The sequence below is a fragment of the Homo sapiens genome, chromosome 9, assembly GCF_000001405.40.
Source record: "Homo sapiens chromosome 9, GRCh38.p14 Primary Assembly".
In the NCBI taxonomy this organism is placed as follows: Eukaryota; Metazoa; Chordata; class Mammalia; order Primates; family Hominidae; genus Homo; species Homo sapiens.
The window spans coordinates 99,181,372-99,198,876 of NC_000009.12; the positions used below are offsets into that span (position 1 = coordinate 99,181,372).

Genomic DNA, 17,505 nt, shown 5'->3' on the forward strand with positions numbered 1-17,505 from the left:
GCACACACACACACACACACACACACACTCACATACACAAGAACATCCAGGGATGTGGTCAGGTTGGAAGTCCACAGGAGCTGAGATTTGGGAAAAATGACAAAAAGGCTTTGCTGACTCTACCCTGTGTGAGTTCAAAATTGCACTCAACTGTTAGCAACAGAGGCCTGAAAAACAGTGGCTTAAACAAAATAGGGGTACATTTTTTATCTTAGGCAGGGCAGGACTGCTCTGGTGGCTTCACAATGCCATCAACATCTTGAGCTCCTTCTATCTTTCTGTTCTGCCATCCTTAGTGAGTGGCTTCCATCTGTAAGGTCACCTCATGGCCCAGCATGGCTGCCAGCACCCCTACCCTATCTGTGTTACAGGCAGGAAGAAGAAGAAATTGGGGAAGAACAAAAAGGGTGCCTTTCAAATGCGTCAGCATCTCTAAAGGAATTCCCCAGAAATCCCCCCAGTGACTTCTGTGTACAACTGACTGACCACATCTGCAGGGGAGGCTGCAGAATGTGGTTTTGTAGCGGGGCACATTACCACATTCAACAATATGGAGATTCTGTTACTAAAGGAAAGGAGAGAGTAGACAAGGAGAAGGCAACTAGCGATTCTGGACACGAGCTCCAGGAAGACAGTAAACAGAGGAGGAAAAGTACTGCCCTCCTCACCCATCTGGGGTACACGGGACACTATCAATAAGCGATAGAAGCCCAGGACTCAAGCTGTAGTTAACTTGCTTTCCTCTCTTCTAAATGTTAAAGGAAAGTTCACATCCAGGGTAGTTAGGAGACAGAGCAGCATTTTAAATGCTGTCAAATTCCAGCTGAATTCAGAAAATTCAGAATTTTCTGAACGGTGTTGCACAAGATGTTTTTGAATGTTACATGAAAAAATGAGTCCCTAATCAAAAAGTTTGGGAAACTCTGGATTGAACCAAGTTGTGCAGTTTATTTGATTGCAGAAAATGTTGGGGTCACTGGTGTGCTCACTTGCCTTGTGATTTTTTTTTTTAAATTTTGGACAGAGAACATTCCCATATTTGACCATGGACTCACTTCTTACAGAAAATCCCATGGGATAAACATTCCACATAGTAAACATTTAGGAAATAATGGTGTGGTCAGAGGCTACATCTTTACCCTGCCGGTTTTCTCAAAGCACTGCCCATGGGCCACCTACACTAGAATCTTCTTAGCTCCATTACACAACTACTGAATCACAGTCTCAGGCCTGTGGCTTGGAAATCCGCATTTTCAAAGCTCTCTGAGCTATAGTCTTACGCTTATTGAAGTTTGGGATCCACCAGGTGACAGAGTTGTGCCTCCACTTTACAGACACCATGACTTGATCAATTTACATCCAGGTACCTCCTCCTGGCTCCCTAAAACTCATTTCTCTCATCACCATGTGGTACCCGGATAATTTTCTCAGCTCTGTTCCAAGCAGCTTGCATTTATCTTTATTGTTGCTCTTTTTATTGATTTAGGTCCATCTCTGCAATTCGTCAAGCTTGGATTGCATTTTAATCTTGTCCTCCAAAGTAGCTAAGATCCCTTCCAGCTTCCTATCATCCAGAAATCTGATTAGCTGGGTCTCGATTCCATCCTTCAAGCCATTAATGAAAACATTAAATGGTCCTGGCTTGGCATGAAGGTCTTCAGGGTTCTCGGTGGGTATATGGCTCCCATATCTGCCACTAGCCTCTGCTTGGCATAGTCCTGGGTTGGAGATCAGGCCCAATATTTCAGTTGTAGGTTACTGCATCCTCATGCTTCCTCATCCATGCACGTAGTGCAAATCTGTGTAGGAAAAATACAACCTAGTAATTAATTAATTCATTAGACATTAGATCAACAAATGTCTTTAAAACACTAGGTTTTTCCTCACACCAGTGGCATGTTGACCTCAGAATGAAGAAGCTAATGCCGAGTGTGTGCATTAGAAAGATCGATTTTTATGTAAAATGCAACTCGGATCTGTCTTTGTGATACACCATTCCAGGAGGAGATGACCTCAAGACAAGCAGCTTCCATGCAATACTGCAGCAAGGGCTTACTTTCCTGAGCATTTCCCACGCTCCAATCACTGCTCTAATTCCTTTAGATGTGTTAACTCACTTCCTGCTCACAATACTTCTATGAGGTGAGTGCTATGGTTATCTCCCTTTTTTAAGGTACTATGCAGATAGTGCCAGAGCTGATAAGTGTCAGAGCAAGAATTCAGGCTCAAGCAGTCTGGCTTCAGGGCCCAGGCTCTGGACCACTCTTCCATCCCGTTGCAGCAGTGGTTGAGTGGATTATGTGGTGGGAACAGCCTACCCAGTGCTCAGAACCCAGAAATGATCAGAAAGACTCACCGTGGTGCTCATGGGTTTTCAGCAGTCATCTCTGTTCATGTTCCCAAACCATGCCAATCAATATTCTTTGCTGCTATTGGGTAGATGAGGAAATGGAGGGACCAAGATAACTGCCCCAGAGCCAACCCCAGGTCCAGCGGACTCTTTCCTCCTCAGAGGCTTGCCCCAGGAGAGACCAGCTGAACAGGCATTGCCTGGGACTCCTTGGGGAAGTGGAGGTTGGAAAAGTAAGTGAAGGAACAAGCACTGGGGGGGGGGTCAGTGTTCAGTTCATCCCTTGCTATGGCCCCATCCTCAAACCTGTCACAAAGCCCTGCCAGCCAGGGCACCCACAAAGCCCACCTTCTCCAGAGGGGCCTGAATCTCTTGTTGGGCTTGGTGTGGGTTTCGGAGGCGATGACTGGGCTGAAGTGACCTCTCTCATTCAACAGACTCAGCCACTCAGGGCTGGGCCTGGCCTGACTCTAGGAGCACAAGATGCAGCCTCTGTCCTCAGAGATTCAAAGGTTGAGCAGACATTGGCCACAGTCCCGGCTGGCTCCGACCGTGGCAGAGGCTGAACCAGAGCAGAGGAGGAAGCAGAGGGGTGGGCCGCAAGCTCTTCTTGGAGTCTCAGGAGCTGCAGAGAGCAAGCTGGGCTTCCTGGAGGAGGAGGCGTGAGAGTTGGGCCTTGAAGTAAGGTTTCAGTGAAAGCGGAGGTGCGGGGTGGGTGGGGTGGGTGTTGAGGGGGTGTGAACACTCATGCGCGGCCTCATGAGCACTGGAGCAGCGCTGGCGGCTAGTGATTTTTCAGACAAATGCCTGCCAAAGCCTCTGACATAAATCAATTTTTCACTTCATTCCTTCTGACTCAACCCCTCCGTCAGGCACTCAGCAGCTGTTTCCTGAGCTGATGTACATCTCATTAGTCTATCAAGCTCCAACAGCCAAGGCCAAGGCCCCCAGAATGAAAAACTGACGCAGCCACCCCTTCCTGTGCCAGAGACAGGAGAAGGGAGGGAGACTGACGGCCTTTGTTCTCTGAGCAAGACCGTAAAGCACTTCGCCTACAGGCCACAAGAGGGCGATGGTGGTCCACACATAAGATCTTCCCAAAGAGCCAGCCAAAAACGCCTGCCTGGAGAATCTGGAGGTTGTGAAAGGTGACTTTGTTAAGGAAGGGCGATGGCCCTTCTCCCTGCCCCAGAGCTCTGAAAGCCTTTAAAGTGGCTTTAGCAGCGTGGTTTAAGAATGGCTCCTTCGGTACAAGGACGGCCATCACTGCTTCTCCTACTGTGTTTGATGCCAGCGTTCTTCCCGTCTGCAGGGAAGGACGGAGAGTGAGGAGGGCACACAGGACGTAGCTGGCTCCTGGCCATGGACGGTGACCGCTCTGGGGCCAGCAGGGTAGAGCTGCCTTCCTACATCTGAGAACTCAAGGGCGAGAGGGAGGCAGGGCAGGGGAGAGGGTTGGTCTCAGTTCACAGGGCGACCCTCTGGCCCTGGTTCTGACGGCGACTCGCTGTGTAAGCTAAGGAGTGTCTCGCTCTGTACAGCGGGCAGGTGGTGGGTCTCTGCACGTCCAGCATCTCCAGCTTTCCGTCCTCTGAGCTGTTTTGACATGGGAGGCGCTGGCAGGGAGAGAGGGGTCACTGATGTGGGAAGCTGGTGCAGAGCTGGGGAGTAGCTTGTGATGCTGGAGAACCTGGAGATGCCCCTCCCATTCCTTGGGCCTCGACTGTCTCATCTGTGGAATGGGCGGGTCAGACTGGATAATCTCTAACCATTGCTTCCCTTCACTTCTGTCCCAATAAACACACACGGAGCTTTTTCGTTTGTCTTTTGTCTTTTTTTTTTTTTTTTTTTTTTTTTTAGAGACGAGGTCTCACTATGTTGTTCCCCAGGTCTGAGTACAGTGGCTGATCCCACTATTGTCCAGCACAGGAGCTCTGACTTGCTCCATTTCCTACCTGGGCCTGCTCACCCTCCCTTAGGCAACCCGGTGGTCCCCCTCTCCAGAGAGGCCACCATATTAATGCCAAACTTAGCGCAGACACCTGATCGGCATAGTGCACTAAAGCCCAGAACTCCTGGGCCCAAGTGATCCTCCTGCCTTCTGAGTAGCTGGGATGACAGGTGGGTGCCACCACTGTGCCTGGCACAGAGCCTATATTGGTGCTAATACTTCTGATTCTGATTCCATTAAAAAACAAAATAAAACATGTTGCCCTTTGGCTGTTTCTGACCTCCATAGTGCCCCCAAAGTGTCCCAACTGGATAGTGGTTGGAGACCATTACTGTGAATGCACATGTGGCCCTTCTCCACACAGTGCATCTGAGGGAAAATGACAGAACACTCAATCCAATTAGAGGAGGCCAGCACAGGCTGGCAGTGAGGAGCAGGCACGAGGCTGCGTTCCCTGTGCTGGCTCCTGGGCCCATATGCTAAGCTCTGCCTTCAGTTCCTGCAGGAGCTGTCCCTTGTTCAGCCTCAGATGTCCTAGCCTCCAGCCGATGGAGGCTGTGTTAGCTCTATGGTGGCACATGGGCCTTTTGTGGCTCCCATGGCGCATTAATACTTTATGTGGCCCATATTTCTTCAGCTGCATCTTCCAACGCTCCCATTGATTTTTAAATTTCAGTGCAAATACAAAGCAAAACTGAAGTTTATGGAGTGTAGGAGAATCCATCTGAAAATTCCCTAGGGTGGCACCAGAGATTGTAACATTAGATGCACTAAGAAAGAAACAACTGCAGCACATTGCTTGGCTCTGCAGTAAATAATATTTATATAGTCATAGAATTGCAGAGCATAAGAGAGCTGATTATGGTTACTGAAATGTATGGGAGAGTTAGCAAACCTAACAAAAAATAAAAAAAGGTTTGGGGTGGGGAAAAGTAGAACTGAAAGAAGTCAGGAACCAAAGCTGGAGGAAAGATAGAAGGCAAAGAAGCTGCTAGTAACAGTAACAATTGCATCTTACAAAATGAGGAGTCCGGAAATGATGCCTAACATTGATAGAACAAGAAAAAGAGGTTTAACTATTTTATGTCTAGCTGCAAAGGTAACTATGTTAGTCATTAGTGCCACTTGCCAAGATATTTCTGGTTCTCCTTTGTTCTGGATAATTCCTGACCCTCTCTGGTTAGATGGGGCCATGAGATTAGTTCTGGTAACTGAGTTGTGAACCAAAGTGATGGGAATCACTTCCAGGGCTAGCATTTCATTACCAGTGGGATCAATCTTTCTTCTAGAAGGCGACTGGCATTATGTGAGATGGTGGCTCTTCCATCAGCCTTGGGTTTTGAATAATTACAGTGTACAGATTATGCCTCTTCCTGTCCCCCATGGACCTGTAATAGACAAGTCCCATGAGTGAGAAACAAACCTTTCTTGATAGAAGCCATTGGGATTTGGGGTTGTCTGTCATTGCAGCATTACCTGCTGTATCCTGAACTAGCACATAATATAACTTTACTAAAAGGACAGGAGAGGAAGTGGTCGGGGTTATAGGCGAGCTAAGTCTTCAACTATTAGAACATAAAATAAATAGGTAATACAGAATTGTTAATCCAAGAAATAGCAAAATTAACATATTATTTGAGATGTAAAATTGTCTAAAGTGGTTACCACTGGGGAGGGGGACTAGGGATGGAACAAAGGAATTTTGCTTTGTCATAAACCCTTCTCTAGTATTTGGCTTTTGAAATTAAAGTTTGTTAGTTTTTGAAATAGACTAAGTAGGTACAAAAGAGGATACAGGAAGTCAGTCTATTTCTCACTTCTGTTTTCCAATTTGGAGGCAACGCCTTGCCAGTTTCTTAGGTATTCTTACAGGAGCAGTCTAAGAATACAAAAACATAAACAGGCTTACATGCCTTTACTTTCAAGTAGCATTGTATCTTGGACATCATTCCTAACCACTTATTTAAAGCTGCTTTTGCTTAAAAATAGCGGGATAGTATCCCATCGTATGGGTATACTATCACTTAGCTGGTCCGCTATTATGCGACATTTGTTTCTCATTTTTAATGTTATTAACAATGCTCTGTGAATATCTTTGTAAGATGTCATGTTACGCATGGATGAGCCTATCAAAAGGCTAACATCCTGAAAGTGAAATTCCTGGGTATGTGTATAATACATACACCTTTTGAGAAAGTGTACAAACTGCCTACACAAGTTGTATCAATGTTCATTCCCACCAGTACTGGAGAAAGTACCCTGAGCTAGTGTCTCACCTATAAGGTCTATTGATTTGATTTTAATAGGAGTTAAAGTGGTGGGGATTTATTTTCTAAATTACTTCCTGAATTATCCATTGAAATGAATGAAAACAAGACTGTAATACTGCACTGGCATGAAGAGTTTTAAATTAAATCTCACATTCTTCAAATCTCTTTGGCGCTCACTCTTTGCTTCATTTACCCAGCAAATATTGGTTGAGTACCTTCTATGGTCAGGGCTGCTAAACACAGTGAGTGGATGGGTGGACGGACAGATAACCAAACTGTATTTCAGATCTATAGCTCCAGTAAAGGAACTAATGCAGACAAATACTAGGGATTCTGAATATTCTTTCTTTTCTAAAAAATTTTATACCTACACATACATCTACATATCTGTATCTCTCAATGATTCTTTCTCGGTTTCTCCATCATTGAGTGTAGAGTTGTAGAAGCAATGACTTAGTTTGAGAGTAAAACTGTGAAATCATAGCATTTGCAGCTCATTCCCATTCTCTCCAACTTCTTCCACCACTCATAACTGTGACTGCCTCTCTCCCATTCCCCCCAGGATCTCATTTTTTCCACCTCCCTCCTCTTGGCTTCCAACAGGCACAGATCTTCCCAGTTTTCAGATGAGGCTTCCTTTGCCACTGTGCTTATATCAGGACAATCCAACCACCCTATTCCCTGGCTGTGACATCAGCACAAGCCCCCTCGTCCACAACCCAGTCTCCTTTCTGAAAGGAAGACTGGATCCCATCACTCTCTTACCTAAATATATTGGTGGTACCTGTTTGCCTTTCATAAAGCATGGCATCAATGCCCCGAGGCTCTCACTGCTTCTGTGCCAGGCTCGTTGCTAAGTGCTAGGTGCACATACTATTCCATTTCACCCTCCTGACCACTTTCAGAGGGGGGTCATAATATTACCCACCTTGTACAGGTAGGAGCACTGGGGCACTAACGTGACTGAGGACCAAGGACACCTAGCTAGGAAAGGAAGGTGCAGGAATTTGAGTCCTGTTTTCAAAGACTGCCCCTAATCACAACACGATGGCACCATATTGTTTTGATAAGCTTTCTGAGATTACTCCCAAGGGGCAGAATTCAAGGGTCCTACACCTTTGCTTCCAGGTTCCCTCATTGTGGTCTTCATTGTAAGACACTTTGCCATGCAGCTCTCTGCCTCTATTCCTACAGTGGGAAAAATTGAAGCATAGGACGGAGGCAGAGATTCTCAGAAAATGTTGGTGAAGTGGAATCCCACTGCATTCTGGTAGCATCCAATCCTGCATGCCTCTTTTCCTCACCCCTTTCTTCAACCTCTCTGCATCTGGGCTCTGCACGTGCCTCTGTTCCATTCTAGCTAGGTCTTCGGGGACAGGCACCCTTGTGGCCACATGCATTGCCAGCCTGGGGCCCTGCTCTTGTAGCCAAAGTTGTCTTCCAGCTTGGTCTCCAGCACACTGCCCATGAATGGCTGTGTCCCCTCCATAGCTTCTTGCTTTCTAGCTCCACAAGGTAGATGTGCCTTCTATCCACAACCTTCTTACCCCAAGTCAGGGAGCTGTCCACAGCTTTGTCCTGCACTACCTGCCCCCCCACATACAAGACCCACCCACAGTCCCTACTGGGGACATAGGAGCCATTCCATAAACAGAAGCTGGATGAATATTTAATGGGAAGTAGTATATAAACAACTTACGTGGGTGTTGTAACGATCTGCAGTGAAATATTCCCTCACCTCTTGGTGAAATTATCATTCCGAACCACGGAATACATTAGGTTTTATGATCTACTTGCTTCTTTGGGGAAATACAAATCTTAAAACGTCATCTTCATATGACAGGGCAAAGAGTCCCCAGGGACACAAGATGTTTAAGGACGTTAACTGAGAATCAGAAATAGTTTGCGATTAATATTGGGGTTTTGTTTATGGGCATAAATAAATCCCAAGTCTAGGGCTGACTTATAAAAATCTGTCTGTGATGAAAACTCTGATCGCAAATTGATGGAATGGGAAAACAATCTGAATTTAAAGAAGTGATTTGGGGGCAGGCTTACAGTGTTTAGAAGCTAATATTTTCTGGCCATAAATGAATATGCTATTCAAACATTCTGAGTCATCAACTAAAATAAATAGGATAGAGACTAGGAATTTATATTGATGGTCTACAGCTGTCCAAGTTCTGTAAGTAGGTCATGTGAAATGGAGTTCCTTTTCTGGGGTCATTGAAAGGGGCCTGCTGGCCCTTCTTCCTTCCCCATGAAGGCAGGGAAGCCGTAGTAATTCTCAACAGGAGGAGGGCAGAGGAGTAAACACTGGCATTTGGAGCCTGGCGTGACTGGAAGTAGGCAGGGGACCTCATGGAAGAAGCACGGCTTTGGGAGTGGGAAGATCCCTGTTCGCCTCCTCCCCGCCTGTTAGTTATGTGACTCTCACATATCCAACCGTGTTCAGGCCTCCTCCTTGGTCCAGAGCCCATCACAGACTGCCCATGGTTTCTAGAACAAAGTCCAAGCCTCCAGATCTTTAGCCTGGCTCCTGGCATCCTCTGCAATGTGCCTCTGCCACTCTCTAGGCTCGCTTCCCAGCACATTGGGCTTCTGAGCCTCAGCACAGGCTCTCTCACTTCTTGCTCCCTTTCCATAACCTGCAGCCTCTGCCCAGGATGCCCTTCCTCTTAGAGCCATTTGGTTAAAAAAACTGCTCTTCTTTTAAAACAGCTCAGAAGTCATCTCCTCTCTGAAGCCTTCTCAGAGTCCCCTGGGAAGAGGTAGCTTAACCCCCTTCTGACTTTCTAGTAAACCCTGAATATCTTGTAGTCTTGTGGCCTTGTGGTACACAGAATGAGTAGAATATGGTTCCCTGTCTCATTGGTGTTGAATCTGGCTAGGTGGCTTGTTTAGTCCAGGGCCTTAAGAGGCAATGCACTGCTTGTGTTCTTTTGCGCTTCTTTGATTTTCCAAGGGGAATGTAAGGCCATGTGGAGCAAATCTGATCCCAATCCAAACCTGGAGCCAATTCCAGCTGACTTGCATCCTAAGGCAGAGCTGCCCTGGGCAAACTATACAACTGGAAGTGAAAAAAAATGCTTGTTGTTGGAAACCACTGAGTTTTGAGGTGGCTTATTACACAGCATTCATGTGGCAATAGCTGACCAATACATTATCACCTTGGGGCTGAACCTCAGAGAGAAGTGTAAGCAGAAGAAAGTATCAGCTAAGTGTGGAGGAGCTAAAAGATATCAGGGCTGCTACTCTAAGCCTCTCAGAGAAGCCGACCTTTGGTGTGAGGCCGTGTCTAACATGGAAGTGGTAGCACTAGAGAGAAGAAAGATCTGGATAGATGGGCAGAGACAGTGCTCCTGGATGGATATCCAATTCCTGGATAGAGATCCAGGAATTCCCACATGGCCTGGTGGGGGATGAGGAACCTCTAGGAGAACTACTTGACTTATATCAATTAGGGGACAGCACAGGTGAGCTACAAAGCACAGGTTCTTGGGACCTCAGGCTATGGAAGGACTTTAATTATCTCCTTAATACCCCCCAGACCAGACCAATTACCTTCCGCACCAAAAGACCCCATCACAGGACGCCCAGGACCTCACAGAATGGGGATGCAGGAGTAGAGGCCAGTGAAGACCCAGAGGGGAACATAAGCACCCAGGGTCATTCTTCCCGTCACTATGCTGGTACCATATCAGAAATTAGGAGGTGGGGAGTGGAGAATCTATGAACGGAGAAAACCTTATGACTTTATGGATGTTAACTTTAAATCAACTGAAACCATACCCAAGAGACTATTCTAAATGGGAAGAGATGGAGTTACCTTTAATTAAGAAGCTTAAGATGCCCCTGTCCTAGGTTGAATTCCCTCATCAGAGAAAGGGTAGAGGCTTGGGTACAAGATAAGACATGTTGCAGAGAAGACAGTTATTATTATTATTATTATTATTATTATTATTATTATTATTATAACATCTAAGTTGTAGTGGGTAATTGTTTACTTTACTTGCTATGACCTGAATGTCGGTGTCCCCCTAAAATTCATATATTGGAACTTAATTTCTAAGGTGATGGTATTAAGAGATGGAGCTTTTGGGAAGTGATTAGATCATAAGGACTCTGCCCTAATGGGTGGGATTGGTGCCCTTATAAAAGGGTTTTAAGGAGTGAGTTTACCCTCTTCTGCCCTTCCATCATGTAAAGGTACAGAGAAGGTATCATCTGTGAAGAACAGGACCTCATCAGACACTAGATCTGCTGGCACCTTGATCTTGGATTTCCCAGCCTCCAGAATTGTGAGCAATGAATTTCTGTTGTTTATAAATTACCCCGTCTAAAGTATTTTGTTATAGCAACAGGAATGAACTTAGATACCACTATACACACTCTGCTTGCACTGATGGTGCTTTGGAGGTTGAAGGAATTGGGTGTTCGATATGTGCTGAAGAGTTAAGGGAAAAGGGCAGTTGTTGCATGTTACTGGAATTGAAAAGTAGAAAAGCGAACATTTATGTGACTAAGAAAAATGGAAATCCCTTAGCCCTGAAGATCTTCAGTGATATTAGGAAGATTCTCTCTTTCCCATCACATATGGATTTAGGGTTAAAGTCACTCCACTTAAATATTATGGCAACAGAGAGGCGCTCAGGACCTGGAGACCTCCAAGCTGCTGCTGACTTTTGAGTTTCACAACGTTGAGAAGGTAGGGGGTATTATTTTCAATACATCTCTTCTAGAGAAGGATGAAATAAAATGTGTGTGTGTGTGTGTGTGTGTGTGTGTGTGTGTGTGTGTGTGTGTGTGTGTTGGGGGGTGATTCAGGAGAATCTGAAATAGGACAGCCTGATACTGAATTGATCATCATTGTTGCTGTAACAAATTAGCCACAATTAACACAATTAACTTTAGTGGCTTAAAAACAAGCCTCCACTGTGTTTGGAGGAAACTAGCAGGCAATGGGATTGGTTAGTATCCAAGATCATTGTTAAGTGTCAGAGCAGGCAAGAGCCCATCCCTGATGGAAGCCTGAAATGTGGGGTGAGAATGACTCATGGGAGAGTCAGTGACTCCTACTCTGCACTTTGGGTCAAAAAGTTGTATGTTGAACCGAATAATGGTCCCCTAAGGATGCCCATGTCCTAATCCCTGGAACCTATGAATGTTTCATTCCATGGTAAAAGTGACTTTGCAGATGCAACTAAATTAAGGATCTTGACATGGGGAGATTATCCTGAATTATTAATATCTGGGTGGGCGCAATATAATCACAGGAGTATTTATAAGAGGAAGACAGGAGTTGCAGGGAGGGGAGGCGATGGAAGCAGAGAACTGAGTCATGTAGCCATAGGCCAAGGAATACAGGCGGCCTCTAGGGGCTACAAGAGGCAAGAAACAGATTCTTTCTAGATCCTCTCTCAGAAGGAACCATCCTTGCCGACACCTTGATTTCAGCCTCAGAAGACTCATTGTAGGCATCTGACTCCCAGAACTGTAAGAGAATGCATGTTGTTTTAAGCCACTAAAGTTAATTGTGTTAATTGTTGCTAATTCTTTACAGCAACAATGAAAAACAAATACAAGCTGGAAGCAATATAATGGACCAACAATAGGGGACTATGTGACAGAAGCTGTTTTTGTAGAGGAACACACTTACGGGAAGTAGTGTAGAGTCTGAGGTTTTGAGGTGAGCAGATGTGGAGGTCTGAGTCCAGTTCTATCCTTTCTAGTGGTGTGATCATAAGCAAGTGACTTATCCTCTTTGAGCCTCAATTTCTTCATCTATAAAATGGGGATACCCACCTCATAGTCTTGTGAGGGCTAAACTGTGCCTGGTACACAGTAGGCACTCACTCAGTAGTAACGTCTATTACCATTATCATAGAAAAAAAATCTGAAAGGACCTAAAGCAATAGGAATAAGAGAAAAGTAATAAAAGGTGCGTTATAACAATTAAAGAATCTGGAAATGTTCAGAGTTTTATAAAGGTCTAATTCATTCTCAAACAATGAGCTACAGTCTCTTTGTAGCTCTGCCTCTTGGGTAATTTTTTTTATTACTTTTACTACTTTTATTTTTACAAGTTACTTGCAATTAAATGTTTTATCTTGCCAGTTCTTTTAAAAAAATTTTCAAAGTGTACAACATTTGTACTGTCTTCCGTTAAATTGCTTTTGCCCACGTGGTTTGCTCCCAAGGTTTTGAGGTGGTAGGGACTCTGAGTGAGGGCAGAAGGCACACAGGGAAAGAAAAAGGGAGCTTGGCCTCCTGCAGTCTGGAGGGACAGCCTGGGGCATCTGGGGACAGAGAGCAAGCACCCTTTCATCTGATACTTAACGCTGGGAGGAAAAAAGCAAGGTTAAACTGTGACTTTAAGCAAATCATGTTTACTTAAGTAATTCATTGTGGGTATTTTTTGAAAATGGCTTAAAACTATGTCTCTACTTAGTCATGCAGATATTAGCAGGTAAGGAGAACTTTATTTTTAATATTAATTCAACAGACATATTGAGCATCCACCATCGGCCAGGCAGATCAAAGAATGGATCTGGGAGGGAAGTAGTGAGTGGATGAAGAGAAACACAAAAGTGAGTAAATCAAGCTAACCAGTTTCCATAAGCCTATTATCTACTTTCACATTTTTCCATATTTACCTTATATCTCTATTTCTCTTTTTATTTTCAAAATAATTTGAAAGTAATTTTCAGACATCATGATTCTTCATCCCTATATATTTCAACGGAAATCTCTGCTATGGATTGAATTGTGTCCCCCTCAAATTCACACGTTGAAGCCCTAACCCCAAATGTGATATTTGGACATGGGGCACTTGGGGGTAATTAGGTTTAGATGAGGTCACAAGGGTGGAGCCCTCACAATGGGATTAGTGCCCTTGTAAGAAGAGATACCAGAGAGCTTTTGTGCTCTTTCTCTCTCTGTTGTGTGAGGACACAGTAAAAAGGCAAAGCTGTCTGCAAGCTGAGACTACAGCTTTCAGGAAGAGGGCCCTCACCCAAGTTCAACTATGCTGGCACCCTGACTTAGGACCTCCAGTTCCTAGAACTGTGAGAAATAAATGTATGTTGTTTAAGCCACTCAGTCTATGGTATTTTGTTATCACAGCCCAAGTAGAGTAAGATGATTGCCTAAGAGTAAGAACATATTCCTTTATTACCATCTGCTATTATTACTAAGAAAGTTAAACATAATTCTATAAAATCATCTAATATCATCTATATTCTAATGTCCCAAAAATGGGTTTTATACCTATTTTAATCTACTCTGATTTTATTGTTGTTGTTTTACTTACCTGGAATAAAACTGACCTTTGATCGCTGTTGCCAATGGCATGTCTGTGCACCATATAGCATTTGCTTGCATTGCAGAGTCCTGTTTAAAAGAAAATCACCAGGCTCTGCCAAGCTTGACCTCTACCTTCCTGTTAAATAACATCAAATACCATGTCTTGAAAAAGCTGGACCCTTTCACCTCCCCTTTCTAACTGTACCTGGGAGGAGCTTAGGCTCTCTTCTTATGGACCAACTGATGTTCACTCAGGTAGGATGAAATGGGGTGCAAGAAATTAGGTTCTTCAGCCCCTTCTGCAGCTGCCAATTTTGAAATGATATCATTTGATTTGGAAAATATTAAGTGTCCACCATGTGCAGGGGCCTTTCACATGAATTATCTTACATGTTAAATACTCACAGAAACTCTGCAGAATATAGTGGGACCATAACTCCTTTTAGGGCTCTGGGTATACAAGAAATGTTATTATTCTTTATTTCCTTTAAGTCAACTTTGGACTCTTTGAGTTCTTGTTTTACCATGATTTTTTTTTTTTTTTTTTTTTTTTTAGCATTCTGCTTCAGTTGTTATTGGGGTCCCCCTTCCTGTCTTCCTTCCTCCTTCCCTTTCTTTTATCCACCTACTTCCCTTAATCCCCTCTATCCCCTTTCATTCCCCTTCCATTCTGCTCTTCCCCACCTCTTCATAAGTCCCTTCTGACTCCCTCTTCCCTCTGCTCTTCCTCCTCCCACCTTCCTTTTCTCTCTGCCTTCTTAACCACACAGAGCTCCCTGTGGGTGGGGCTGTGGTCCATACTAATAACAGTAAATTCCCATTTATCGAGTGCTCACTGCATGCCAGGTGCATGGATGAGTCTAATTAGTCCTCACAGCAACCCTGTGAGAAAAGTTGATTGGTTATGATGCTTTAGGCTGCAAGTAACAAAACCCAACTAACAGTGGCCTGAATCACAAGACATCTATCCTTTACTTAACATGATGGAGGAGGAGGATGCTGGCCTTATTTCAGCTGCCCAGTGGCGGCATCAAGGCCTCCAGCCTTCTGCTCTCTTCTTCTCCACTGGGCTTATTCCTGAGCATCTGCAGTATGGCAACTGAGCCCCACATCTGCACTCAAAGGCAGGAGGCAGAGTAGAGGCTATAGTTGTGCGAAACTTTCTTTTCCTGTTGTGAAAGGAAAATATCTCAGGCCCCCAGAATCACTAAGCTAAAGGGAAAATTCAAGCTGGGAACTGCTTAGGGCAAACCTGCCTCCCATTCTTTTCAAAGTTATTCCTCTGCTCACTGAGATAAATGCACATCTGATTACCTCCTTTGCAAAAGTGAATCAGAAACTCAAAAGAATTCAACCATTTATCTCTCACCTATCTGTGACCTGGAAACCCCCTTTCCCCTTCGAGTCTTCCTGCCTTTGCTTTGAGTTGTCCCGCCTTTCCAGACTGAACCAATGTACTTCTAACGCATATTGATTGACGTCTCATGTCTCCCTAAAATGTATAAAACCAAGCTGTGCCCCGAACACCTTGGGCACATGTTGTCAGGACTTCCTGAGGCTGTGTCACAGGTGCACATCCTCAACCTTGGCAAAATAAACTTCCTAAATTAACTGGATTTTCTGGGACCACTCTGTGCTTATCTCTCTTTAATCTTCCCCCTCTCAACTCATTGGCCTAACATGTGTTACTTGGTCACCGCTAGCCACAGGGAGACTGGGAAACTGAGTGTTGAGCTTTTTTAGCCTCTGTAGTGGTGAGAAGAGAGAAGGGATTTGGGAATTTCCTTCGGGTGGCCACTTAACACTGTCTGCCTCATAATTGGCCCTCCTTTTACAAAAGAAAAACTGAGACTCAGAAGAGTTCTTATTCGCTCCAAGGATCAAGCTGCTAAGAAGAGCTTGAATCAACATTTCTTTGACTTCAAGTTCACAAAATTTTCAATAAGCAATTCTTACTGACTGAGGGCATTCTATAAGGCACACAGCTCTCTTGCCACCCTTATATGTACATTTATTTATTCAAACATCTCTGAGTGCTTATTGTGTGCCAGGCCTGGGCTGAACACCAGGGGTCCAGAGATGGATGAGCAGGGCACAGTCCAGTGGGCTCGCTGATGCATTAACAGATGGTTCCAGTTCAGAGTGGTAAGTGCGCCAGGAGAGCTGGCGTGTGAGCACAGATGAAGGGTGTTAATGACTAAGCTTCCAAAACATACCTTGCCCAATGTCACCTGCTAGAGGGTGGCAGAGCAGGGACTCAGAGTGTGAGTTGTCTAATTACAAAGCTGGAACCCTGCCCCTCTTCCCTTGCACCTTCTGCCATCCACAACAGCCAGTGGAGGGAGCAACAGTGACACCCAAGCAGGCATGGACCCCAGCTCTATGTAGGTGGCTTCTGAATGATGATGGTTCTCTTCACAGCATTCCCCAGAAGTGATGGCATGAGCTTAAAGAAAACAAAAGCAGCGCTATCTCCAGAATAATCCCCCTGCAAGCCTGTTCAAAGTGTTTTTTTTCTTAAAAACAAAACAAAACAAAACAAAACTGTTTGGTCACATCTAAGCTGGTCTCAGCAGAGTGAAGCTAGCCATCTAGATCTTCATGTCCTAGCTACTTACTTTTCTTCAATGGTGGCATTTTCCCCCTTAACTAAGGTCACTCAGTTCCCCACTTGGCTTTACCTGTGGTTGGTTGTAGGCTGTAAGTGAAAGGAAATGCCAACTTCTCACAACTTGGAGAAAAACTCAGCCCAGTCATGGCTTTTCCTCCCACTGTAGAAGCTGAAAATGCCAGACACATCCCGATCTCCCTTGCACCAAGCAGAGCCGTGGCCTGGGCTCAGCCAATCAGACTCATCGCTCCTGAGCTGAATTACAAGCGAATGAAGTGGAGAAGGAGGGACCCTGCAGGATCCATTCTAGCAAGGGCGTTGGCAGCCACAGCAGCCACAACAGTTTCCCCGAGGCGGCAGATCTGGTGGCTGCATCTGAATGGAACAGCAGAGGGCTGGCATTGTAAACTATGAGCTGCAGGTCCACAGCAGCAACAGCGGAGTCTGCACAGGGCCGGTTCTGAGCCTGCTTTCCAACATCATCCCAGCTGTATGGCCTCCAAGGCTGGTTTTAGGCTCTCTCATATACTCTGTGTGCTATCCAATATCCTACAATAAATTCCTTTCTGGTGTAAATCAGGAAAAATTAGTTTGTTGCTTGCAAACTAAGCACCCTGGCTGTTATATGCACAACTTCTGGAAGGGCACACAGACACAATCCATTACTAAAATGACTAGTCTTATTGAAAGCTTTCTACTGAGCACAAAAGATGCTGCAAACTTTTTTTTTTTTTGAACTGGACTTTTGATTTCAGAATAGTTTTAGACATAGAGAAGAAGTGCAGAGTAGTTCAAAGGGTTCTCATATATTCCATAGCCAGTTTCCCATATTCTTAACATCTTATGTTAGTAAGGTACAGTGGTTACAGTTCATAAGCCATTACTGATACATTAATACTAACTAAAGTCCAAACATTATTCAGATTTCCTTAATTTTTACCCATTTCATCTAATGTCATTTTTCTGTTCCAGGATCCTATACAGAATACCAAATTACATGTAGTTGTCAGTTCTCCTT

At 44.7% G+C, this 17,505-nt stretch overlaps 1 long non-coding RNA gene and 1 pseudogene across 1 annotated transcript, besides 3 other annotated features; one reads left to right on the forward strand and one right to left on the reverse strand.

Annotated features, from left to right (window-relative positions):
• Positions 255–714: an enhancer, noted in NCBI's record as "active region_28700". NCBI's record gives its function as "activates an Ori minimal core promoter by ATAC-STARR-seq in GM12878 lymphoblastoid cells {active_cell/tissue: GM12878}" and the evidence as "EXISTENCE:reporter gene assay evidence [ECO:0000049][PMID:35858748]".
• On the forward strand, positions 2,952–4,165 carry LOC105376174 (uncharacterized). Its single transcript, XR_930169.3, has 2 exons — positions 2,952–3,031; positions 3,223–4,165. It is a non-coding gene; the product is annotated as an uncharacterized LOC105376174 (long non-coding RNA).
• Positions 3,331–3,540: an enhancer, noted in NCBI's record as "active region_28701". NCBI's record gives its function as "activates an Ori minimal core promoter by ATAC-STARR-seq in GM12878 lymphoblastoid cells {active_cell/tissue: GM12878}" and the evidence as "EXISTENCE:reporter gene assay evidence [ECO:0000049][PMID:35858748]".
• On the reverse strand, positions 4,216–4,495 carry RN7SL794P (RNA, 7SL, cytoplasmic 794, pseudogene; annotated as a pseudogene).
• Positions 6,085–6,204: a silencer, noted in NCBI's record as "silent region_20126". NCBI's record gives its function as "represses an Ori minimal core promoter by ATAC-STARR-seq in GM12878 lymphoblastoid cells {active_cell/tissue: GM12878}" and the evidence as "EXISTENCE:reporter gene assay evidence [ECO:0000049][PMID:35858748]".